The sequence below is a fragment of the Homo sapiens genome, chromosome 3, assembly GCF_000001405.40.
Source record: "Homo sapiens chromosome 3, GRCh38.p14 Primary Assembly".
In the NCBI taxonomy this organism is placed as follows: Eukaryota; Metazoa; Chordata; class Mammalia; order Primates; family Hominidae; genus Homo; species Homo sapiens.
This window is the reverse complement of record NC_000003.12, coordinates 110,944,786-110,970,288: the sequence shown is the minus strand read 5'-3', so window position 1 is coordinate 110,970,288 and position 25,503 is coordinate 110,944,786. Positions and strand designations below refer to the sequence as shown.

The 25,503-nt window shown below is 38.9% G+C and overlaps 1 long non-coding RNA gene across 3 annotated transcripts in view, besides 1 other annotated feature; it reads left to right on the top strand.

Annotated features, from left to right (window-relative positions):
• The window catches only part of LOC151760 (putative uncharacterized protein), a 183,623-nt gene that overhangs the window by 101,478 nt on the left and 56,642 nt on the right, over positions 1–25,503 (top strand). The window contains exon 1 of one of the 3 annotated variants that reach the window (XR_924329.3): positions 453–787. The exons of the other annotated variants lie outside the window; for them this stretch is intronic. This is a non-coding gene — a long non-coding RNA (putative uncharacterized protein LOC151760). Of the gene's footprint in view, positions 1–452; positions 788–25,503 lie in introns of those variants that run through there. 3 annotated transcript variants of the gene reach the window in all.
• Positions 4,563–5,762: an enhancer, noted in NCBI's record as "P300/CBP strongly-dependent group 1 enhancer chr3:110683374-110684573 (GRCh37/hg19 assembly coordinates)". NCBI's record gives its function as "activates an origin of replication core promoter dependent on BRD2, BRD4, P300/CBP, MED14 and CDK7 cofactors, with strong dependence on P300/CBP, by STARR-seq in HCT116 cells {active_cell/tissue: HCT116}" and the evidence as "EXISTENCE:reporter gene assay evidence [ECO:0000049][PMID:35650434]".

Here is a 25,503-nt window from a genome sequence, read left to right as displayed (position 1 = left end):
AGTAGAGGTTCCTCTTCAAAGGGACTTTCCTCCCAGTCTAATTGAGAATAGATAGTAACCTCTCTTAGAAGCAAAATTTACTCAAAGAATTGTGCTAATATTCTTAAACATCTGCTAGCTGTAATAAAGAAACCAATATACTCTGTGTTCTTAGCTCCCACATTTTAGCCTAGATATTTGCCCTGGCATCCCTGAACCAATCCAAGCAAGCATTAGGTCATAGCCTATTCCTCTTCCTTATTTGGAAGTGTTTTTGCCTCTCTCAGCATTCCACAAGTTACTTCCTCTCTTCCTTTGTTTTCCTCTGCCTTTGCCTCTTTTGGGAAGTTCTAAGTTGCTAGCCAGTTGGGTCAAGTACAGAATGTAAGGTCCCGTTCCAGCCAATGGAAATCGGACACAGCAGTAGGGTGGACATGTCAGGTTATAAATGACCCTGTCTCCTTTGTTCGTGTGTGCTTTCCTGGCAAGACTGCTAGCAAGCAGCACCCTTTCTGCAGAAAGTAAACTAGCCTTGCTGAGAGATTCTTTGTCTCAGTGTTGATTTTTGCAACACCGAGCACTAGTTCCCAACAATTTGGTGGCCCGTATGGGGAATAACATTCCCCTCTTGGATGGTGTTTGCCCCTCTCTCATGGGGAGGTGCCCTGCCACCCGTTGTTGCCGCGGCCCCAGCAGGAGAGCCGGGACCTACCTGGTGTGAGGAATATACTTGGAGTCTCAGCATCGGCGGGGAAAGAGAGAGGCTTGTGGGACCGTGGTGACCAGGTGACTCCGTGCGTGGGCCAAGGTAGGAAAAGCCGCAAGAGGGGGGCAAAGTACTTCCTTGGTGGTCAGCTTTTGGAGGATGAGTAATTGTGTGTATGTGTGAATGATTATCTGTGCTACGAGTCCTGCTGTTCGGCAGAATGTGTGAACACAGACGGAAACAATGTAAGGGACCTCCAAAAGGGAGAGGGAGGAAGGTTAACCTCTTGGGAAAGAGAATCAGCGAGACATCTCTGGTTTGAGAGATTGAGTCTTTTAGCAAGCTTTTAAAGACTGGACAGGTGAGAAATCTCCAGTCTGAAGGATCTGGGGGATTGGGCCTCCCCGGGAGAAAGATAGGTAAGACATCCCTAGTATGTGGGATTGGACTTATCTAGGATCAAACATGGGAAAAGGCCCTTGGCAAGCCTCCAGAGGAAGGGAGGATGAGAAGCCTCTAGTAGAAGAGGTTGAGCCCCCTTCTGTGCACCCAGGAGTGCTAGAAACCTCCAGCAAGGGGGGTTGAAAGCTCCAGGAAAAAGGCCTATTCTAGTTAGGCACCACCCCAAACCTTCAAGATAGGAAATATTCCGAGTAAAACAGGGAAAATAAAGAGCTGTGGCTACAGCAGTATTAGTTGAAGAAGGTAGAAAATTAACCTTTTGGGGGGAAATTAATTGTAAGCATGCCCCACCAAGTTAGAGCTATTGTAAATCAAAAAGCAGGAAGGTAGCTTACTGACTCCAGAATCTTAAAATATAAGGCTATTTTGCTAGGAAAAGATGATTTCATCTTGACTACTGATAATTCACTCAACCCAGCAGGTTTCTTGTCAGGAGACCCAAATCTTAAAAAAAAAAAAAAAAAAAAAGAACACTTGTGTCTAGGTTTGATTGACTACCAAACAAAAGTCAGGCCAGATCTAGGAGAGGCCCCTTTTAAAACAGGGCAACACTCATTTATAGATGGTTCCTCCAAAATAGTCAAAGGAGAAAAACATAACAGGTTTTCAATCCTTGGTGGAGAAACTCTTGAAGAAGTAGAGTCAGGAAGACTGCCCAATAATTAGTCTGCCCCAACCTGTGAACTGTTTGCATTCAGCCAAGCTTTGAAACACTTGCAGAACAAAGAAGGAACTGCTTATACTGATTCTAAGTATGCCTTTGGTGCAGCACATACAGTTAGAAAAATTTTGGGCTGAGCAAGGTCTTATTAACGGTAAAGACCAAGATCTAGTCCACAAAGAACTAATTGTTTGTGTTCTAGACAATCTCCAGTTGCCAGAAGAGTTAGCTATTGTACATGTCCCAGGGCATAAAAAGGACTTTTTTTTTTTTCACAAGTTGGGGAAATAACCAAATGACTTTGCAGATCAGATAGCCAAACAAACTGCTGTTTCTTCTGAAATGTCTTTCACTTAACTCCTTGCCTTCCTTCCCCTACTGTAGTCCCCATCTTCTCTTCCACTGAAAAAGAAAACCTAATAAAAATAGGAGCTAAAGAGAACACAAAAGGAAAATGGATATTACCAGATCAAAGGGAGATATTATCCAAACCTCTCATAAGGGAGGTCTTAACTACGGTTCTCAGAGTTTATAAGTGTATTGGAATTTATACCCTAGTCAAACAGGTCACAGACAATTGTCTAACATGCAGGAAAACTAATAAACAAGCCCTAAGAAAATCACCCCTTGGAGGATGAGATCTGGAGCTAAGACCATTCCAAAGTGTTCAAGTTGATTACACCGAAGTGCCTCCAATCGGTCGCCTGAAGTATTTATTAGTAATAGTAGATCATCTCACTCACTGGATCGAAGCTATCTCCTTTCCAAATGGAACAGCTAATAATGTAATTAAAGCATTAATTGAGAATATACTGCCCCTTGTGTTAATAGAGAATATTAACTCAGACAATGGAAACCATTTTATGACACATATTATTAAGAAGCTGGCCCAAGTGCTAGACATAAAATGGGAATACCATATTCCCTGGCATCCCTCATCCTCCAGGTGAGTAGAAAGAATGAATCAAACCCTTAAGAATAATCTGACTAAATTAATTCTAGAGACTCATTTACCATGGACCAAATGTCTTCCCATTGTCTTATTGAGGATCAGGATAGCTCCTCGAAAGGATATAGGCCTGTCTCCATATGAAATGTTATATGGATTGCCCTATTTACATTCCTAGCTAATGTTCCTATGTTTGAAACTAAGGATCAGTTCCTCAGAAATTACATACTTGGTCTCTCCTCTACCTTTTTTTCTCTTAAGATCAAAGGTCTCTTAGCACAGGTGCCATCACTAGAATTTCCAGCACACCAGCACCAACCCAGGGACCATGTTCTCATCAAAGGGTGGAAGGAAGGGAAACTTGAGCCCACCTGAGTAGGCCCCTATCTTGTGCTCTTAACCACTGAGATTGCCGTCTGCACAGCTGAGAAATGATGGACCCACCATACTTCAGTCAAGAAATCATCTTCCTCATCAGAATCATGGGTTACTATACCAGGATCGAGTCCTACCAAGTTAAAATTAAAGAAAGCTTAATTTTCATAACCTTGTATATTGCTTCCTTTCCTTTCCTTATTCTGTTACTAGCTCCTTTGTTATTAATGTAACTAAGTCTGACTCACCTCAGACCATTGCTTTTGATGCTTGCTACGTCATACCTTGTGGAGATGTGAAGGATCAATAATAGCTAGCCTTTTCACACAAATATTTATGCCCCAGCCCTCTAACTGACACAGTTACTCCTAGCACTCATCGTTGTGATCACCTGTAGCTGAGATGCCAATTTTCTGCTCCTACAGCCTGGCAACCTTGTAGTAGATGGGACTACATCCTTTGGACTACTCAGGAGCAAGGTTGGACTTCTAAGGAAGAGGTTTGTGCAGATCTAAAACCCCTCATCTATTTCACTAAAGGGACTACCCCTTCTCAGTCTTTCTCTCTATCAGCACCTCCACCTTAACTGACTCTAGACCTGCCCTTAGTTGCTTATATGGTATGGGGATTGATGTAAATGGGAAAGACCCCCTAGGCATTTTTAAGATATGCAATATTCCCCCATCTTCCCCTTCTTCAGTAGCTTCAGTTTTAGATCCCACACTGGTTGCTTCTACACCTAATAATAAAACCAGGGTGTCTATTAGGAAGGTAAAAGATCTAAGACAAACCTTAGCCATTGAGACAGAATATCAAAATGCAAATGCCCGGCTGGAATGGAATAAATATCCCATTCACACTTTAAATAAGAGTGATTGTTACGCTTGTGCTCACGATAGGCCAGAGGCTCAGATTGTCACCTTTCCACTCGGATGGTCTCCTCATTGACCAGGTACAGACTGTATGGTGACTGTCTTTCAGAATCCCACTGCTTGGGATAATCCATCATGCTGAGCTCTCTCTGCTGTTTCCTGAAGTTCAACACCCTGTAGGTCAGCCCCCGAGGGCAATCCAACTTCCACCTCTAAATGCCAAGTTTACTTTGTGCCTCTCACAGCAAGGGGAAAATTTGATGTTCCTTGGAGGCATAAAAGGATGCAAGGAGCTCAAGCCTTTCCAGGAGCTTGCCCATCAGTCCACGCTTAGCCATTGCCAAGCAGATGTATGGTGGTATTGTGGTAGACTTTTACTGGACACTCTGCCAAGTAACTGGAGCAGAACTTGTGCTCCAGTTCTGCTATCCCTTTCACCCTGGCATCTCAACAGTCTGGTAAAGTAAAAACAAAATGTCATAAGCCAAAAGAAATTCCTTATAAGTCCTTTGATTCTCAAGTTTATAAAGATGCTATTGGGGTTCCATGAGGAGTGCCAGATAAATTCAAAGCGCAAAATCAAACAGCTGCAGGATTTGAGTGTATGTTATTCTGGTGGGTAACTATTAATAAAAATGTAGACTGGATAAACTATATCTATTACAATCAGCAACGATTCGTAAATTACACTATGGATGCCATTAAAGGGATAGCTAAACAATTAGGACCTACCAGTCAGATGGCCTGGGAAAATGGAATATCCTTAGATATGATATTGGGGGAAAAAGGAGGTATTTGTGTTATGATTGTGACCCAATGTTGTAGCTTTATACCTAATAATACTACCCCTGACGGAACTATAACCAGAACACTGCAGAGATTAACAGCCCTCTCCGATGAACTTGCCAAAAATTCTGAAATAAATGATCTTTTTTCTAAAATAATAGAACATTGGTTCAGTGGATGGAAAGGAATTTTGACTTTAGTTCTCACCTCGTTTGCTCTTGTTATTGGTGTACTTATTCTTGTAGGCTGCTGTATTATTCCCTGTCTTCAAAGTTTTATACAAAAATTTGTCTCTGCTACTCTCACAAAATGATTTCCTAACTCTTCTCCACCCTATTCGGAAAGATTACTTCTCTTAGAAGGACAAACAGCAGTTGAGTCAAGACATAGTATACAGGTTTGAAGAGGAATTATAAAATAAAAGAGGGGGGAATTGTAGAAAATGAAATAAGTAGAGGTTCCTCTTCAAAGAAACTTTCCTCCCAGTCTAATTGAGAATAGATAGTAACCTCTCTTGGAAGCAAAATTTACTCAAAGAATTGTGCTAATATTCTTAAATATCTGCTAGCCATAATAAAGAAATCAATACACTGTGTGTTCTTAGCTCCCACATTTTAGCCTAGATATTTGCCTTGGCATGCCTGAACCAGTCCAAGCAAGCATTAGGTCATAGCCTATTCTTCTTCCTTATTTGGAAGTGCTTTTGCCTCTGTCAGCATTCCACAAATTACTTCCTCTCTTCCTTTGTTCTCCTCTGTCTTTGCCTCTTTTGGGAAGTTCTAAGTTGCTAGCCAATTGGGTTGAGTACAGAATATGAGGTCCCATTCTAGCCAGTGGAAACCAGACACAGCAGTAGGGTGGACGTCTCAGGTTATAAATGACCCTGTCTCCTTTGTTCATGTGTGTTCTCGTGGCAAGACTGCTAGCAAGCAGCACCCTTTCTGCAGAAAGTAAACTAGCCTTGCTGAGAGATCCTTTGTCTCAGTGTTGATTTTTGCAACACCAAGCACCAGTTCCCAACAGCCATTCAATGCTTTTTTGCTTTGTCAAGTGTGTTTACTGGTTCCTGATCTTTTAACTGTGAGCAAAAAAAATTGCTTACCTGTTAAATAAGAACATTGAGGCATGGCATGGTGGCTCACGCCTGTAATCCCAGCACTTTGGGAGGCCGAGGCGGGCAGATCACAAGGTCAAGAGATCAAGACCATCCTGGCCAACATGGTGAAACCCTGTCTCTACTAAAAATACAAAAATTAGCTGGGCGTGGTGGTGAGCACCTGTAGTCCCAGCCATTCGGGAAGCTGAGGCAGGAGAATCCCTTGAACTAGGGAAGTGGAGGTTGCAGTGAGCTGAGCTGAGATTGTGCCACTGCACTCCAGCCCTGGTGACAGAGTGAGAATCTGTCTCAAAAAAAAAAAAAAAAAAAAAAAAAAAGAACATTGAATATATCTGTTATGAAGATTCCCAAATGTGTTTCTTTCTAAACTGTCTTTGTATTTTTATGCATCTTCTAAACTGTCTTTGCAGTTTTATTCATCTTCTAATTGTTTTTGTTTCAAAGAAAGATGTGTTCCTTTTCCTTTTCAAAGTTGGTTTACTTTCTGTGCCTGGGACCCCATAACCTCAATCTTTTTTTTGGACTTTGTCTAAACAACCACTCTCTCTTGCATCTTTTACCATCTCCTTATATACTTACTCTTTTTCCTGAACCTATTCATTTTATGAAATTTCCCCTGTCCTAAAACAAGAAAAAAAAAAAAAGGACCACTGGCACAAAAATGTCTGCCTCTATTATTATTTTTCTGCTTCCTTTTATTGCCTAACCTCATTTTTAAAAAACTTCATGTTTTTTTTAAAATTACAAGAGTAATATACACCTCAGAAAACTTGGAAAACAAAGAGCTCAAAGGAAGAACATCCACAGTTGAAAGATTATTAACTTTGTAGGGTATATTCTTACATTATTTTTCTAATACTGTACTTTTTTCTGTGACCAATATGGTATTATTCAGTTTACATATATCTTATAGTGCACATTACAAATTGTGATATATTGGCAACATCTTCTCATGTCATTATTTTTGTTTGCTTATTTTGTTTGCTTCAATATTATTTTAATGGCTACATAGCATGCCATTGTATAAATATACCAAAATTTACTTACCAACTTCATAAATTTTCTTATTGCTACCAGAAATTATATATTTATTGTTTAGTTTTTAATGGTTTGTCTCTCCACTAGCATAGAAAATATGTGGAAGTAGGGAACTTGATTTGTCTTACTTCCTACTGTCCAGTGCCTAGAATGGCTTTTGGTACATAGTGGTCACTGAATATGTATTTGTTAAATGAGTTTATATATGGTTGCATATTTAAATTACTTCTGATTTTAACTATTATAGATAATACTGCAGGAAAATTCTTATACATATATGTGCACATTATGATTTGTTTAGTGTACACTTTTACAAGGTAAATTTCTAAGTCAAATTATGCAAAATTTAAGGTTTATAATAAATTGCCTAATATTCTCTTGAATAATCGTGCCAATATACACTCCCATTAGCTGTGCATGAGTGTGTCTATTCCAGCAGTTTTTTCCAAAATTGTATTTTAGTATTAAAAAATTATTTCCAAGTTAGTAGGTAGATTCATTTTTTTATGTGCATTTATTTGATTATATGATGTTTGAGAATATATTTATTTAATTTTTTTGTATATGCTAAGTTTTTTTTATAACCCAAAATATGGCCTATCTTGGTGAATGTTTCCTGTACTCTTGAAAATCATGTGTATTCTGTTGTAATTGGGTGGAGTGTTGTACAAAATATCAGTGAGGCTAAGTTGGTATTAGGTTTCTATATCCTTTGTCTACTTATTTCTTCAATTACCAAGAAAGGAGAATTAAAATTTTCAACTGTAATTGTGAATTCATCTATTTTTCCTTTCATTTCTATTGGTTTTTACCTTATGTATTTTGAAACCGTGTTGTTAAATGCATAAATATTTGGATTATTATGTTTTGGATTAGTACCTTTTCTTGAAGAGTTGACCTCTTTATCATTTTCTAATGTTTCTGTTCATCCCTGGCAAGATTCCTTGTTATAAAGTTAGCTTTGGCAGATATTAATGTAGGTACTCAATCTTTCTTTTTATAGTGCTTACACAATAAATCTTTTACTTTAACCCCTCTATGCCTTTATATTTAAGATATCTTACAGACAAAAATAAGTTGTGTTGTACTCTTTTATCAAGTATAATAAATTTGCCTTTTAACTTGATATATTTAGACCCTTTACATATAATGTAATTATTGAGATGATTAGTTAAAATCTACCATTTTGCTGGTTGTTTTCTATTTGTTTTTTCTTATTTTTTCTGCCTTATTTTAGATTGAGCATTTTTTTATGATTCAGTTTTTAACCACTATTGCCTCATTATTTGTTCTTTTTCATAAACTATTTTAGTGGTTTCTCTAACATTTTTAGTATTCATCTTTAAATAGTCAAGGAGTATATTATGGCACTTAACATGTACTGTAAGAACTTTATAACAATATACTCTCAATCCTTTATTCTCATTGTACTGTTGTCATACATTTTATTTTTACACATACTATAAGTTTTTATACATACATACAATACATACAATACATTGCTACTATTTTTGCTTTAGGCAGTCAGTTATCTCTTAGAACCAATTAAAAATAAAAAATAATTTTATATCCATATTCCATTTCTAGTGCTATTTATTTCTTTCTGTATATCCAGGTTTCTGACTGGTATCATATACCTTTGCCTGAAGAACTCTCTTAAAATTTAGTATAATGCATTTCTGCTGGCCATGAATTCTCTCTGAGTTTATTTCTTTCAGGAAGGTTTTATTTCTCCTTTATTTTTGACTGATATTTCACTAGATATAGAATTAAGAATTAACAGTTTTTCTTTTGGCACCTAAGATGCCACTCAGTGTTTTTCTTTCTTGCATTATTTCTGATGAGAAATCTGGCGCAATCATAACTTATATTTGTTGTTCTGTACATAATGTATCTTTTTTTTCCCTGCCCCTGGTTGTGTTCAAGATTTTCTCTTTGTTTCTGGTTTTCAACATGCCTAGTTACTTTCTGTTTCTTTTTTGTGTTTATCATGCTTGATGTTCTCTGAGCATCTTGGATCTATAGTTTGGAGTTTGTCATTAACTCAGAAAAATTTTTTCCCATTGTTTCTTAATTTTTTTTTGTCCTATCTTCTTCTCTTTTTGGTATTTTAATTGCACACATTTTAAACTGTTTGATATTGTTTCATTACTCTCAGATGCTCTGCTCACTTATTGTTTCACCCATCATTCCCTTTGTGTCTTTTTTTTTCTTTTGGTTAATTCCTATTGACTTATCTTACTTATCTTAAATTTCATTTATTCTCTTCTCTGCATCAAGTCTATTGCTGAGCCTATTGAAGGCATTCTTCATCTCTATTATATTTTAATTTCTTGGATTTCCACTTGATTTTTTGTTGCAGTTTCAGTTCTGTTACTGAAATTACCTATCTGGCTTTGCATGTTGTCTAATTTTTCCACTAAAGCCTTTTATATATTAACCATAGTTATTTTTAATTCCTAGTCTGATATTTTCAACATCTATCCTATCTGAGAGTGGGTATATTTTTGCTTTGTTTCTTGACAATTTGTTGTTTTTTATTTGCTTTGTCTAATGCCTCTTAGTTTTTTGTTGGCATTTGGACACCACATCTAGGATAGCAAAGACTGAGATAAACAATTTTTATGCCTGGAAATAGTGTAGTAACTTTCCTTTTGCTAGCCCTTTTGTATAAGGGGAAGTTGAGTCAGTTAAGTCAGAAATTGGGCTATAGTCACATTTTGTTGTTGCTATGGTAACTTTTTTGTGCAACACCAGCTTTCAATCTTAGAGTAAGGGCTGGTTTACCAGAGGTTGTTTTTTGAATGTTTGCCCCACCTCTGCTTTATATCTTCTCAGAGAGCTTCTCTCTTCAAGGTCTTGCTCCTTTTCTTTAAGCGCGCTGTTGTTCCTTGACGGATAGTTCAGCTTTAGTTGCATGGCGGTAGATGTGTGTGTGGAGGGGGGTGGTGGTTGGGGGACTGAGGTGGGTGGTGGGGGCAGTATTTTCTGTTGTTTTGATAAAGCTGCAGACTTAGACAGGCACTGAGTTCTGGGTCACAGGAGTAGGACTTCTCAGGATGTCTCTGAGGAAACCTTTAATGATCTGGGCCCAGTACTTGTTCCAGCCTCTCCTCTAGTGGTAGAGAGTTTTTTTTTCTATTCCCACTCCTTAAATACAGTTGATTTTCAACAGCCCCGCCCAGCCCCCTTCCCCTCCCCAAGGCAGGGAGGATTTGTTTTACTTCCTTCAACAATTTAAGGCCTTTGATTCCAGGAGAGATAGGAGAGAAAGATCCAGATAGGGTTGTGTGCTTTTCCAGCAGGAGCTGCCCCCTTCCAAGAACTCCATCTCAAGAGAGGTTTTCTTAGTATCTTCACAGTTGTTTTTCTGAACATGTGACAAGGTCTTTGGAGACAAGCCTACAAGTGGATGCAAGTTCTCCTTGTGTCTGCAGGTCACAGGAGTTATGTATTTTCTGGTTAGCCTGATTCTTTAAATATTTTAGCTAAATTCTATTTATTTGCCCAGCAGCGTCTACTTCAGGTCAGCAAGTTCTTACTTTCCATCTGTCTTTGGAGGTGCCTGCCTTTCCTTAGATTTTAGGTTAGTGTGTTGCTCTACAACCTTAGCTAAATGATGAAAGTATTACTTTCTAATATTTTATTGTTGTGAACTCATTGTGAGGTGATCTGAAACTTAAATAATGAACCACTACACTTTGAATATAGAATTGAATCAGGTATTGAACCCATAAGGACTCAAGCAGATTAGCCAGTCTGTCCACCTGTTCTATTCATAGCACTTGGCCACTGGGGGACACTCGCAAACTGAGAAGTTGTATACCTTTTCTAGAGAAGACACATCTTGTTGAGACTACTTGTAAGAAGTGGGAAGAATGATTTCTGATCTCTTTAGAGTAGTGACATCACAAATAGTTGGATTTTACAATTCTTGTTTTCAAGTGCCCTTGATACATCTTTAAACAAAAAGAAGAAAAAAAATAAAATCACAACTGAGCTCAGAATAATCCTGAACATTGCTGGAAAACCTCTTGTCCATCCCAGTTATCTCATATCACAGCATCCATTTACCTATAATCTTAAAGGATATTTGATAAAGTCTACATGGTTAATATATAGCAATGATACAGACAGGATGCAGGACAATACTGGGTAGAAGAGGGTGGTTCCCCGACAAAGGCCCCACCCTCAAGCCTGGAGACCCATGGCCCTAAATGGGGACAGGCATTCCTGTTTTCGTGCTCAAAAAGTTGCCTTTTGGCCTGCCACGCCCACTGTCCTGTACCCATATAAACCTGAACCCCAGGCTCCAGAAGCAGACAAACAGACGAGGAGATAAGCAAATGAACCATGGAATGACATAGCAGAGAAAGAGAGGAGGAGGAATGTCTGAACACTGAGAGGAATTTGACTGGGGGCGGTCAGAGAGGAGTTTGGCCGCTGGATGGCCAAACTCCAGGGGAAGATCATCTTCCCACTCCATCCCCACTTCTGGCTCCCCATCCATCCTGATGAGAGCTACTTCCACCACTCAATAAAACTCCCACATTCATCCTTCAAGTCCATGTGTGACCCTTTTCTTCTAGGACACGAGACAAGAGTTCAGGATACAGAAAACTGTCACACTGGTCCTCTGCCTTGCAGAAAGACAGAGGGTCCACTGAGCTGGTTAACACTCAAGCCATGCACAGACAACAAGACTAAAAGGACACACTGTAGCACATGCCCATTTGGGCTCCTACACCCGTCTGTCTGCGTATTCCCCCTCCCATCAGGGGTTTCAGCAGTGGCGATGAGAGAACAGATGAGCCACACCCCTGTCACATGTCCTGTGAGGAGGATCTGGGAACTCTCCTGTTTCAGCAAGACTGGTGACTTTTTGGCATGTACATATATACCAGCTGGATAAACAAGCATGGAGCCCTGTTGATTAAAAGACAGTACAGCTATTATTTATTGTGAAATTTAGCCATCTTATTATAGGTGAACGAAACTCAAATTGTCACAGTATCAAGTATATGAAAAGCTTTATCTGCTTTCCTGTCCTTCCTGCCAAATATACACTACAAACACACATTTCACTTTAGGAAAAGACTTAAAAGTACTCTGAAGTGAAAACTGTACAAAGGTCTCCAGTTTCTGCAATAAGAATACATAACAGCAAGGCAATTGCAGATCAGACTGATTTTTAAGGTACAAGGATACTCTTTAAATCCCTTAAACTATGTCTCTTTTGTATATTGACACTACAGAAGTATCAGAGAAAAGGACGGAGAATCCCATAGTACCTTTGGATCTGAAGTTTTAAAAATTGAATTCATTTTATATTCAGTCATAAAAAATGTAGGTCCTTAAAACCTGATGTTCTGTACAGTTTACTTGATGGGATTGTATTGTTACTGAACACTGCCAGTGATACTCTTTAAATAGGAGTCTTCTTTGTTCTATTTCTCTGCCTTCTGTCACACCAAGGCCCATCTTTTGTGCCTTAAAATTTCTGCACAAACTCTTCATTTTTATGCAGCTTTCAGATACATGGCCCCAGGGCCTGGTCTCTCAGCAACAGTGCAGCCCTCATGTTTGATCCTTTGCATAGGTGAAACTAGCTGTGTGTTTTCTCTGTGTTTTTATATACTTACATATTTATGTTTATTCTATCTAGCAGTAGATGATCTGCTTTTCAAGTACAGAAAACATATTTAGTCCCTTCACAGCTTTCTACAACATCTGTTGCGCTGCTCTATATCATATTTTTCCTTTGAATTAGAAATAGATATAAAAATCAAGCTATAAAGTTCTGACATTTTGGAAAATCTTACTAGCCAATAATAATTGCAAACTGGGTGGGGTATGCAAAAGAAAGATGCTAATGTTTATTGAGCACAGAGTAATGGACAGGCAGTAATTTCATCTAATATTTATTTTTCTTTAAATTCCCCATATGTATATGTGGTGTGTGTGTGTGTGTACATGTGTATATGGCAGTCTTTGTTATTCTAATCCTTATAGATGGGACAAATGAGCTCAAAGTTAATAAACTTTTTCAAGATCACTCATGTAATATTTGGAAAGAGAGAATTTAAACAAAGAAAGAAGTGTTCACTTATCAATATATAGCTTGTGCTGTAGCCATCTACTGCCTGTCATATAAACTCACCAGTGATTATCTTGAAGTCAAGATGGGATGCCTATTCAACGAATTACTTATTGACCACTTCCAAGGGTAAGATCTTGGCATATTAGTTTAAGTAGTAATTGGTAATTTTGTAAAGAGCACATGTCAGGGTACCAATTGTAGAGCAGCCTCTTTCCTATTGCTCTTATTGGTAATACCTGATGCATGAAAAAATCCACCTGGGTTTAGAAATTTCTGCTAAAGTTTATACTTAAAGACATTATTATATTGGGCCTTTGGAAATAAAAGTGTAAATCAACACTGTTTTACTAAATAGTTGTCTTATACACATGTATAACATTCTATAATTGGGATGGAAAATTGCTGTTTAGAATAAGAGCTAACTACAGAAGTTTTAGTATACGAGGGAAGCTGCAAGATTCTTATCAGTGAGCTGTTATTGGTTTGGAAATGGAAACGATGACAGATATAACAGACTCACCCTTCCTGGATTCATGGTTTAAAATAAGGATTTGGAAGCACCTATGAAATTTTAAAAATCCTAATATCTGGGACTAGAAGCCAGACAGCAGTAGTTTCTAAAGATGTCCAGGTGATACTAATGTGGAACAAGTTTGGAAACCACTGGTCTAGAATCTTACTACTCAAAGTGTGGTCCTGAGTAATTGTTAGAATTGCAGAATCTTGGGCTCCACTCTAGGTCTACTAAATCATAATCTGCCTTTTAAAAAGATCCCCAGGTAGTTCTTACGAACATTAAAGCTCAGGAAGCACTGGGCTAGAAAAGTTTTCTAGCTTGTACATTAGAATCTCCCGGGGAACTTTTAAAGTATAATGATATTCTGGCCTTCCTTACTGAGACTGTAATTCATTTGATGTACGGTGGGGCCTGGTCTTTGATATGCCATATGCTCCTCAGATGGTTCCAGTGTGTGGTCATTCATGATTGTGAAACAGAGGGCAAAGCTGAATGCTGATTAACTTTGCATAAAAAATCTACAGTTTGCTCAGGTAGCCTGGGAGATAGAGGTTAAGAACACATAAAAGGAGAAATTTAAGGATGCATATGGTGGGGGATACAGCAATGTATTAGGGAGCTTCACTTGGAGAGAAAATGTTTTCCAGTGAAAAATTTCCTTGGGGAGGGGGCTTGGTGGAGGGAGGAAGAGGTGTGGGTTGAAAGACTTTAAAAACACAGAAGTGTAATAACTGATTTTAGGTTGTTGGTAGTGCTGTTATGAGGCAGGATAAGAAGTGACCATGAGAGCATTCTACTCCAGAAATTCTCAGATTTCTTGTGAAAAGTGTCCAAATTTTCAGAAGATTAAGAAGGATGGAGGCTTGAGTTATTTAAAATATAGCTAAAGGAAGACTGACCCCAGAAGCCTGGAGGACCAGAGTTGGAGGCATTTTGTCATTAGTCATTTGGGAAACAAACAGATTGTGTAAGGAGAGTTCTTCCTTTTACCACCGGCTGCTTCTTCAGAATGAGTTGTATCTCTCTAGCCTGAGTCTAGGTTAGCGTCTCATTCTTGTCTTTTGTTATCTAGCCTTCTCTTCTTCAGTTACTCATGCTGACGACTTCTTGAGTACCATGTTGCCCTTTTACTTGGAGGAATTTTCAGAGTTTCACGTGTAGTTATTAAGCCATTATGACTTTTCATTATAAATTAAAAACACTTAATGCTGCTCTTTCTCTCTGGCTCTTTGCCATTACATTCAGATACTTCCTAAGCAATGATGAAACTTGTCTGGCTGTTAAGTTCAGGATACCTCACTTCTAAAAAAGAAGACAAAATAACACAAAGAAATGACAAACTCAGAATTCTTTCCCTCTAGAATAAGAGGGGTTATTTATCTCTACCTTCTGATTTCAGAAGGAACTGTAAAAATAAAACCTCATCTTGAGGCATTCAAGTCATTTTCCTTAAGTATGGGTATACATTTACATTGTGTGGCTATTTCCTGTAACAAATACTCTTAAACAAAACAAAAAAAAGAAAGAAAGAAAAAAAAAGCTGTAGTAGCAAGAGCTCAAATTATTGAGCAAACAGATTTTCAAGTGGGGAAATGCTTTACCTCATTGCATCGAATTTCTCCTGTCCCCTTCTGAAAGAAGGAAAGATGAATATGAAATAGGTCTTGGGGAAAATTTTGCATTTAAGGTTGTGATATGTTTCCCAATTGTATTATTTTTGTGTACCACCTATCCTGAACTACATAACAGATCAGGGCTTCTTTGGAGCTTTTGTGTGAACACAGAAGTAGCCATGTGAGAAATAGGAAAATGATCAAGGCTGAGTATGGACAGTTGGAATAAAGTTGAATGTAAGGGGAAAATCAGAGATGAGGGAAAGCAAGGTAACACCAAGGCACACCACCCCAGTAGCTATCAAGTAGTATATAACTTTCATTATCCAAAATTCAGTAGGAAATACCTTTAAATAACAGCCTGCGCTGGAAGATATGTTTTGCTACCTAAAGTAAAACCACAGTTTTCCTCTTTTTGAGTCAATACTACATAAGATAAAAACTAATTTTACCACTGTCAATCTTTACTTAATGTGAGGTTACAACCAGAAAGCAAGCAAGGTGGAGGGGGGTTGTCTAGAAAGCCAACCTGGGGATTAAGGGAAAAAAACTGATTAAATAACTGGAGCAGCAGACAGTCTAATGTCATTGGTGTTGCAAACTGCCCTCTATACCATTGGAACTACCACATAGGGAAGAGACACCAAAATTGTCAACTTAAATAGACTTAGTAGGTGGGAGGAATTCAGTGAATCGGGTCTGAAATCTGTAGTCCTCACTGGCATTGACACATTCAGAACAACATGATGCTCATGATAAGGATTCTGTGTTGCAGGAAAAGGTTAAATCTTATTCTTTATGTTGGTTTGAACAGGAAAGAATATTATACTTGGTGAGTTTTGTTTTGAAACATATTTTAAAATTGTAAATTTATAAATTATAGTTATATATGTTTATGGGATACAAAGTGATATCATAAATTATGAATTATGAAACAGAATAATTAAATCAAGCTAATTAACATATCCATCACCTCAAATACTTACTTTCTGTGGTGAGAAGATTTGAAATTTACTCTCTTAGGAATTTTGAAATGTACAATACATTATTATTTACTATATTCATCATACTGTGGAGTATATCTCAAAGAAAAAAAAAGCTGTCTTCTAATTGAGTCTTTGTTGTATTTGACAATCATCTTTCCACCCCACCCCAGTGGTCTCGGGTAACCACCATTATTCTCATTGCTTCTTTGGGTTTGATTGTTTTAGATTCCACGTGGAAGTGAGAACATGCAGGAATATCTGTCTTTCTGTGCTTGGCTTATTTCACTTAGCATAATGTTCTTTAGTTCCATTCAGGCTGTCACAAATGACAGAATTTCTTTCTTTTTTAAGGCTGAATAAGTGTTCCATTGGGTATATATCACATACTTTCTTTATCTATTCATGTGCTGATGGACACTTAGGTTGATTTTGTAACTTGGCTATTATGAATAGTGTTGCAGTGACCGTAGGAGAGGAGTGCCGACAACTCTTTGACATACTGATTTTAAATCTTATGGATAAATTCCCAGAAGTGGAATTTCTGGATCATATAGTAGTTCTATTTTTAGTATTTTGAGAAATGACAATACTGTTTTCTGTAATGGCTGTGCTAACCTACCATCTCATCAACAGTATACAAGGATTTCCTTTTCTCTGTATCCTTGCCAACACTTGTTTTTGTTTGTTTGTTTGTTTGTTTTGATAATGGCCACTCTGACAAGTGTGAGGTGCTATCTCATTGCATTTCCCTAATATTTAGTGATGTTGAGCATTTTTTTTTCATTTAACGGTGGCCCTTTGTATATATTCTTTTAAGAAATGCTTATTCAGGTCCCTTGACCATTTTTAATCAGCTTGTTTTCTTTCTACAGAGTTGTTTATATTTTTATTTTTCTTTCTCTTTTCTAATTGCTCTGCTGAGGACTTCCAGTACTACGTTGAAAGAAGTGACAAGAGTGAACATTCTAGTCTTGTTCATGATCTTAAAGGCAAAGCTTTCAACTTTACAGCATTAAGTATGTTGCTTTGTATGAGCTTCTTGTATATGGCCATTATTGTGTTGATGTACCTTCCTTTTACACCTAATTTGTTGAGAATTTTTATCATGAATGTATGTTGAATTTTGTTGAATTCCTTTTCTGCATCTATTGAGATGATAATCTATTTTTTTCCTTTGTTCTGTTAAGGTGGTGTATCACATTTATTAATTTGTTTATGTTGAGCCATACTTGAATCCCAGGGATATATCCCACTTGAGCATGGTGAATGATCCCTTTAAGGTGCCATTGAATTCCATATACTAGTACTTGTTGCAGAATTGTGCATATATGTTCATGAGGAATACTGGGACTATAACTTTCTTTTCCTGTAATGTTGTTACCTGGCTGATATGGTTTGGCTGTGTCCCCACCCAAATCTCATCTTGAATTCCCACATGTTGTGGGAGGAACCCAGTGGGAGCTGTTCTCATGATAGTGAATAAGTCTCATGAGATCTTATGGTCTTAAAAGGGGAGTTTCCCTGCCTAAGCTTTCTTCTCTTGTCTGCCACCATGTGAGACATGGCTTTCACCTTCTGCCATGATTGTGAGGCCTCCCTAGCCACGTAGAACTGTAAGTCCATTAAACCTTTTTTTCTGTATAAATTACCCAGTCTCAGGTGTGTCTTTATCAGCAGTGTGAAAACAGACTAATACACTGACTTTGGTATCAAGGCAATGCTCACCTTCTCAAAGGAATTTGGAAGTGTTTCCTTGTATTAGTCCATTCTAACATTGCTATAAAGAAGTACCTGAGACTAGGCAGTTTATAAAGAAAAGATGTTTAATTGGCTTATGGTTCCACAGGCTATACATGAAGCATAATGCTAGCATCTGTGTGTTTTCTGGGGAGGCCTCAGAAAACTTATGATTATGGTAGAAGGTGAAAAAGGAGCAGGCACATCACATGACTGGAGTAGGAGCAAGGGGGCAGGGGGAGGTGCCACACACTTTTAAACAACCAGACCTCGTGAGAACTCACTCACTGTCATGAGGGCAGGATGAAGGGGATGGTGTTAAACCATTCATGAGAAATTCACCCCCATGATTGAATTACCTCAAACCAGGCCCCCACCTCCAACACTGGGGATTACATTTCAATGTGAGGTTTGTGTGGAGACACATTCAGACTATATCATTTCGTCCTGACCCCTCCCAAATTTTATGTCCTTTTCACATTTTAATATACAATCATGCTTTCCTAATAATCCTCAAAGTCTTAACTTTTCCAGCATTAACTGAAAGGTCCAAAGTCTCTTCTGAGACAAAACTAGTTCCTTTTGCCTATGAGCCTGCAACATCAAAAACAAGTTAGTTACTTCTAAGATACCATAGGGTTATAGGTCTTGGATAAATATTTCCATTCCAAAAGGGAGAAATAGGCCAAGAGAAAGATGCTATGGGCCCCATGCAAATCCAAAACCCAGCAGGGCAGTCGTTACATCTTAAAGCTCCAAAATAGTCTTTGACTCCATGTCTCACATCCATGGCAGCCTGATGCAAGGCGTGGGCTCCCAAGGCCTTGAGCAGCTCTGCCCCTGTGGTTTTGCAGTATTCAACCCCTGCAGCTGCTCTCACAGGTTGTAGCTGAATGCTTCCAGCTTTCCCAGGCACAGGGTACAAGCTGCTGGTGGATCTACCATTCTGGAGTCTGGAGGGTGGTGGCTCTCTTCTCACAGCTCCACTAGGCAGGGCCCCAGTAGGGACTCTGTGTGAGAACTCCAACCCCACATTCCCTCTCCACACTGCCCTAGTAGAGCTTCTGCATGAGGACTCTGCCCCGCAGCAGGCTTCTGCCTGGGCACTCATGCTTTTCCATACATCCTCTGAAATCTAGGTGGAGGCTTCCAAGCCTCAACTCTTGCACTCAACACACCTGAAGGCTTAACAACACATGGAAACTACCGAGGCTTATGGCTTCCCCTCTCTTAAGCAGCAGCTCGAGCTGTACCTGGGCCCATTTGAGCCATGGCTGGAAGTGGAGTTACTGGGAAACAGGGAGCTGTGTCCCAAGGCTGCACAAGATAGTGGGGCCCTGGGCCTGGCCCTTGAAACCATTCAGTCCTTCTAAACCTTAGGGCCTATGATGGGATGAGCTGCCCTGAAGGTCTCTGAAATGCTTTCTAGGCCTTTTCTTCATTGTCTTGGCTATTAGCATTTGGCTCCCATTTGCTTATACAAATTTCTGCAGGCTGCTTGAATTTCTCCCCTGGAAATGGAATTTTCTTTTCTACCACATGGCTAGGCTGCAAATTTTTCAAACTTTTATGCTCTGCTTCCCCTTTAAATATAAGTTCCAACTTTAGATCACTTCTTTGCCCAAGCATATGAGCATACATTGTTAGAAGCAGCCAGGTCACAGCTTCAACTGCTTTGCTGCTTAGTAATTTCTTCTGCCAGATACCCTAAACCAAACCTCTCAAGTTCAAACTTCTAGGGCAGGGGCACATTGTAGGCAAGTTATTTTGCTATGGCATAAAAAAAGTGACCTTTGCTCTAGTTCCCAGTAAGTTCCTCATTTCTATCTGAGACCTGCTCAGCCTGGACTTCATTGTCCATATCACTATTAGTATTATGGTCACAACCATTTAACCAGTCTCTAAGATGTTCCAAACTGTAACTAATCAACCTGTCTTTTGAGCCCTCCAAACTTTTCCAAACTCTACCTGTTACCCAAATCCAAAGCTGCTTCTACATTGATATGGTTTTACTGTGTCCCCACCCAAATCTCATCTTGAATTATAGCTCCCATAATTCCCACATGTTGTGGGAGGAACCTGGTGGGAGATAATTGAATCATGGGGGCAGTTTCCTCCATAATGTTCTTGTGGTAATGAATAAGTCTCACGAGATCTGAAGGTTTTATAAGGGGAAACCTCTTTTGCTTGACTGTCATTTCTCTCTTGCCTGCTGCCATGTAAGATGTGCCTTTCACCTTCTGTCATAATTGTGAGGCCTCCCCAGCCACATCAAACTCTGAGTCCATTAAACCTCATTTTCTTTATAAGTTACCCAGTCTCAGATATAGCTTTATCAGCAGCATGAAAATTAACTAATACAGTAAATTAATACTGGGAGTGGGGCGCTGCTCTAAAGATAGCCAAAAATGTGGAAGTGACTGTGGAACTGGGTAACAAGCAGAGAATGGAACAGTTTGGAGGGCTGAGAAGAAGACAGGAAAATGTTGGAAAGTTTGGAACTTCCTAGACACTTGTTGATTGGGTTTGACCAAAATGCTGATAATGATATGGACAATGAAATCCAGGCTGAGGTGGTCTCAGATGGAGAAGAGGAACTTGTTGGGAACTTGAGCAAAGGTGACTCTTGCTGTGCTTTAGCAAAGAGACTGGCAGCATTTTTCCCCAGCCCTAGAGATCTGTGGAACTTTGAACTTGAGAGAGGTGATTTAAGGTATCTGGCAGAAGAAATTTCTAAGGGTCAAAGCATTAAAGAGGAAGCAGAGCATAAAAGTTTGGAAAATTTGCAGCCTGACAATATGATAGAAAAGAAAAACCTGTTTCCTGAGGAGAAATTCAAGCTGGCTGCAGAAATTTGCATAAGTAACAAGGAGCCAAATGTGAATCACCAAGACAATGGGGGAAATGTCTCCAGGGCATGTCAGAGACTTTTTGCAGCAGCCCCTTCCATCACAGGCCTGGAGGCCTAGGAGGAAAAAATGGTTTTGTGGACTAGGCCCAGGGCCCCCCTGCTGTTACAGCCTAGGAACTTGGAACCCTGTATCCCAGCCACTTCAGCCATGGCTAAAAGGGGCCAAGGTACGGCTCAGGACATTTCTTCAGAGGGTGCAAGTTCCAAGCCATGGCAACTTCCATGTGGTGTTGAGCCTGTGGGTGCACAGAAGTCAAGAATTGAGATTTGGGAACTTCTGCCTAGATTTCAGAGGATGTATGGAAATGCCTGAATGTCTTGCTACAGGGGCCTGCATGGAGAACTTCTGCTAGGGCAGTGTGGAAGGAAAATGTGGGGTTTAAGCTTCCACAGAGTCCCCACTGGGGCACTGCCTAGGGGAGCTGTGAGGAGAAAGCCACCATCCTCCAGAACCCAGAATGGTAGATCCACTGACAGCTTGCACCATGCACCTGGAAAAGCTGCAGATACTTAATGCCAGCCCATGAAAGCAACAGGGAGGGAGGCCATACCCTGCAAAGCCTCAGGGGCAGAGCTGTCCAAGACCATGGGAACCCACCTCTTGCATAAATGTGACCTAGATGTGAGACATGGAGTCAAAGGAGATCATTTTGAAACTTTAAGAGTTGACTGCCCTGTTGGATTTTGGACTTGCATGGGACCTTTAGCTGCTCTATTTTGGCCAACTTCTCCCATTTGGAATAGGTGCATTAATCCAATGCTTGTACCTTTATTGTATCTAGAAAGTAACTAACTTGCCTTTGATTTTAAGGTCTGATAGGTGGAAGGGACTTGCCTTATGTCAGATGAGAATTTGGACTTTGAACTTCTGAGTTAATTCTGAAATGAGTTAAGACTTTGGGGGACTGTTGGGAAGCCATGATTGGTTTTGAAATGTGAAGACATGAGATTTATGAGGGGCCAAGGGTGGAATGATATGGTTTGGTTGTGTCCCCATCCAAATCTCATCTTTAATTGTAGCTCCCATAATTCCCACATGTTATGGGAGGGAACTGGTGAGAGATAAGTGAACCATGTGGGTGGTTTTCCCCATACTATTCTCATGGTAGTGAATAAGTCTCAGGAGATCTGAAGGTTTTATGAGGGGAAGCCTCTTTCGACTGACTCTCATTTCTCTCTTGCCTGCTGCCATGTAAGATGTCCCTGGCTCTTTCACCATGATTGTGAGGCCTCCCCAGCCATGTGGAACTGGGAGTCAATTAAACTTCTTTCCTTTATAAATTGCCCAGTTTCAGATGTGTCTTTATTAGCAATGTGAGAACAGACTAATACACACATTTTCAGATATCTTTGTATGAATTTCCCACTCCTGGTACCAATTTTCTGTATTAGTTCCTTTTCTCATTGTTGTAAAGCAATATCTGAGACTAGTTACTTTTTAAAGAAAAGTGGTTTAATTGGCTCATATTTCTGCAGGCTGTACAGGCAGCATGATGCTGGCATCCTTCAGCTTCTGGGAGGCCTCAGGAAACTTATGACAGAAGGGAAAGGGGAAGCAGGCACATCACATGGCTGGAACAGGAGCTAGAGAGTGGAGAGGGAGATGCTACACACTTTTAAACAACCAGATCTTGTGAGGACTCATTGTCATGAGAGCTACACCAAGGAAATGGTGCCAAACCATTCATGAGAAATCCATCTCCATGATCCAGTTGCCTCAAACTAGGTCCCACCTCCAACACTCAGGATTTTCCTCCCCTCCCCTTCCCTCCCCTCCCCTCTCCTCTCCTTTCTTTTCCTTTCTGACAGAGTTTCACTCCTTTTGCCCAGGCTGGAGTGCAATGGCACAATCTCTGCTCACTGCATCCTCTGCCTCCCGGGTTCAAGTGATTCTCCTGTCTCAGCCTCCTGAGTAGCTGGGATTACAGGCAAATGCTACCACACCCAACTAATGTTTTGTATTTAGTAGAGATGGGGTTTCACCATGTTGGTCGGCCTGGTCTCAAACTTCTGACCTCAGGTGATCCATCCACCTTGGCCTCCCAAAGTGTTGGGATTATAGGCGTGAGCCACAGTGCCCGGCCTGGGACTTTTCAGTATCAGATTTGGGCAGGTACACACATCCAAAATATATCATCCCTCTTCAATTTTTTGGAAGAGTTTGAGAAAGATTGGTATTCGTTCTTTAGATATTTGGTAGAATATATCAGTGAAGCTGTCAAGTCCTGAGCTTTTATTTAGGAATATGTTGTTTAATTTTCACGTATTTGTGAATTTTTAGAAATATCTTCTATTGATTTCTAATTTCATATCATTATGGAAGGAAAAACTTTATATGATTTTAATCTTCTTAAATTTGTTAAGGCTTGTTTTATGGCCTGAAACATGATCTATTGAGAATGTTCTGTTTGTGTTTGAGAAGAATGTGTTTTCTGCTGCTGTAAATGTCTGTTAGGTTAATTTTGTCTGGAGTCCAACATTTCTTTGTTGATTTTTCTGTCTCATTTATTTGTCTAGTGCTGTTAGGAGAGTACTGATGAACCCCACTGTTATTGTACTGCTATGTATCTATTTTTTTAGCTCTAGTAAAATTTGTTTTATGAATCTGGATGCTCAGGTGTTGGGTGCATATATATTTAGGATTGTTATATTCTTTTGGTGAATTGATCTTCTTGTCATTAAATAATGACTTTCTTTAATTTATTTAACTGTTTTCTGTAAATTTTTTTGCTTAAAGTCTGTTTTATCTGACTTAAGTATAGATACTCCTGCTTGCTTTGGGTTTGTTTGCATGGAATATCTTTTTCCATCCCTTTACTTTCAGGCTATATGTGTTTTTACCAGTAAGGTGAGTCTCTTGTAAATAGCATATAGTTGCATCATATTTTATTTCAATCCATTTCACCAATCTATGCATTTTAAGTGAGGATTTACGCCATTTACGTTCAGGGTTAATTTTTATATGTGATGTTTTGTTTCTCTCATATTGCTGGTTGTTATCTATTTGTTTTATTGTTTTTTAAATTTTTCTGTCTTTGTGGTTTGGTGGAGTTCAGCTGTATTGCCATTTGACTCCTTTCTCTTCCTACTCTGTGTAATTTTTAAATAACATCTGTGAATTTTATACTTTTATTTGTTTTTATGATGGCAAATATGAAACTTTTGTCTTCATGTTTATGGCTTCTTTGAGCATTTGTCAGTCTGAGTGAGTGTTGATGAATTTTCTGTGTTTGCTTGCCCGGGAAATATTTCTCCTTCATTTATCAAGTTTATTTTAGCTGGATATAACATATTTGGCTGGCAGTTATTTTTTTCTTCTTTTAGCACTTTGAAAATAGCATCCAATTCTCTTCAGGCTTATAAGGTTTCTGCTGAGAATTCTGCTGTTAGCCTGATTGGGTTTTATTTATAGGTGAGTATATATCTTTCTCTTCCTGATTTTAGAATTTTTTTCTTTCATGTTTACCTTAGACAGTCTGATGATTATATGGCATGGTGGTCTGTTTTGCAATTTATTTTCTCAGTAATTGTTGAGACTGCTGTATCTGGATGTCTAAATCTCCTGCTAGACTAGGGAAGTTTTCATCAATTATTTCCTTAAATAGGTTTTCTACATTTTTTGCTTTTTTTGTTTCCCTCAGGAATACCCATGATTCATAAGTTTGGTTGCTTTATGTAGTCCCATACTTTTCAAAGACTTTGTTCATTCTTTTTAATTCTTTTTTTAAAATTTTTTTCTGCCTGCCTTTATTAAAAAGACTTGTCTTCAAGTTCTGAGATTTTTTATTCTTTTTCTAGTTTGTTATTAAAACTTTCAAATGTATTTTGTAATTCCTTTAATGAATTTTTTTATTTTCAGAAGTTCTTTTTGGTTTATTACATTTCTTCTTCATATTCTGAATTGATTTTCTGATTTCTTTGTATTGGCTTTCAGATTTCTCTGGCATCTCAGTGATCTTTTTAAAATTAATATTTTAGGTTATTTATCTGGCATTTTTAGGATTTTTTTTTTGGTTAGCATCTATTGCTAGAAAATTACTGTGTTTCTTTGGAGGTGTCATAATATCTTTCTTTCTTATACTTCCAGTGTTATTATGCTGATTTATTCACAGCTGGAGAAACAGTCACTTTTTTTTGTTTGTGTTTTGAATTTACTTTTTTTAGGGTGGGACATTTTTTTTTCCTGAAGATGTGACTATGATGTATATTGAATTGGGCTATTTGGCTCTGCTTCTAGATATGTTCGGTGGCAAAGACTCTGTATGATTTTTCTTTGTTATGAATAGCCTTAGTAGGATGACTTTTTCAAATTTCAGTTTTAACAGTAGTGTACCAGGCAGATGAGCAGGCTCATAACCTCTTGAGTAGCTGAGGTGACAAGATGCAATGGTTGTAGTAGAAGTTACAAAAAGCTTATCTATCTTGTTCCCATGTGGTATGCACTTGTGTCAGCAAATGTTGTAATGAATGGGCTGTGTGGGTCAACCTCCAGGCCAATAGGTGGCATTTGCAGATAGGAAATGGCTGTGGTGGTAGCAGTGGAATTTATACTTGACCTTTGTGATCCCGGAGAAGTGCTTTGGTGTCCCAGGTGATGATTTGGGCCATGGAACATTCTCTGGTCTGGGTCCCATGTTCTGTCTCAGTGGAGGGTCAGGGAGGGAGCCTGGACTCCAGTAGAGCTGGACTGGGCA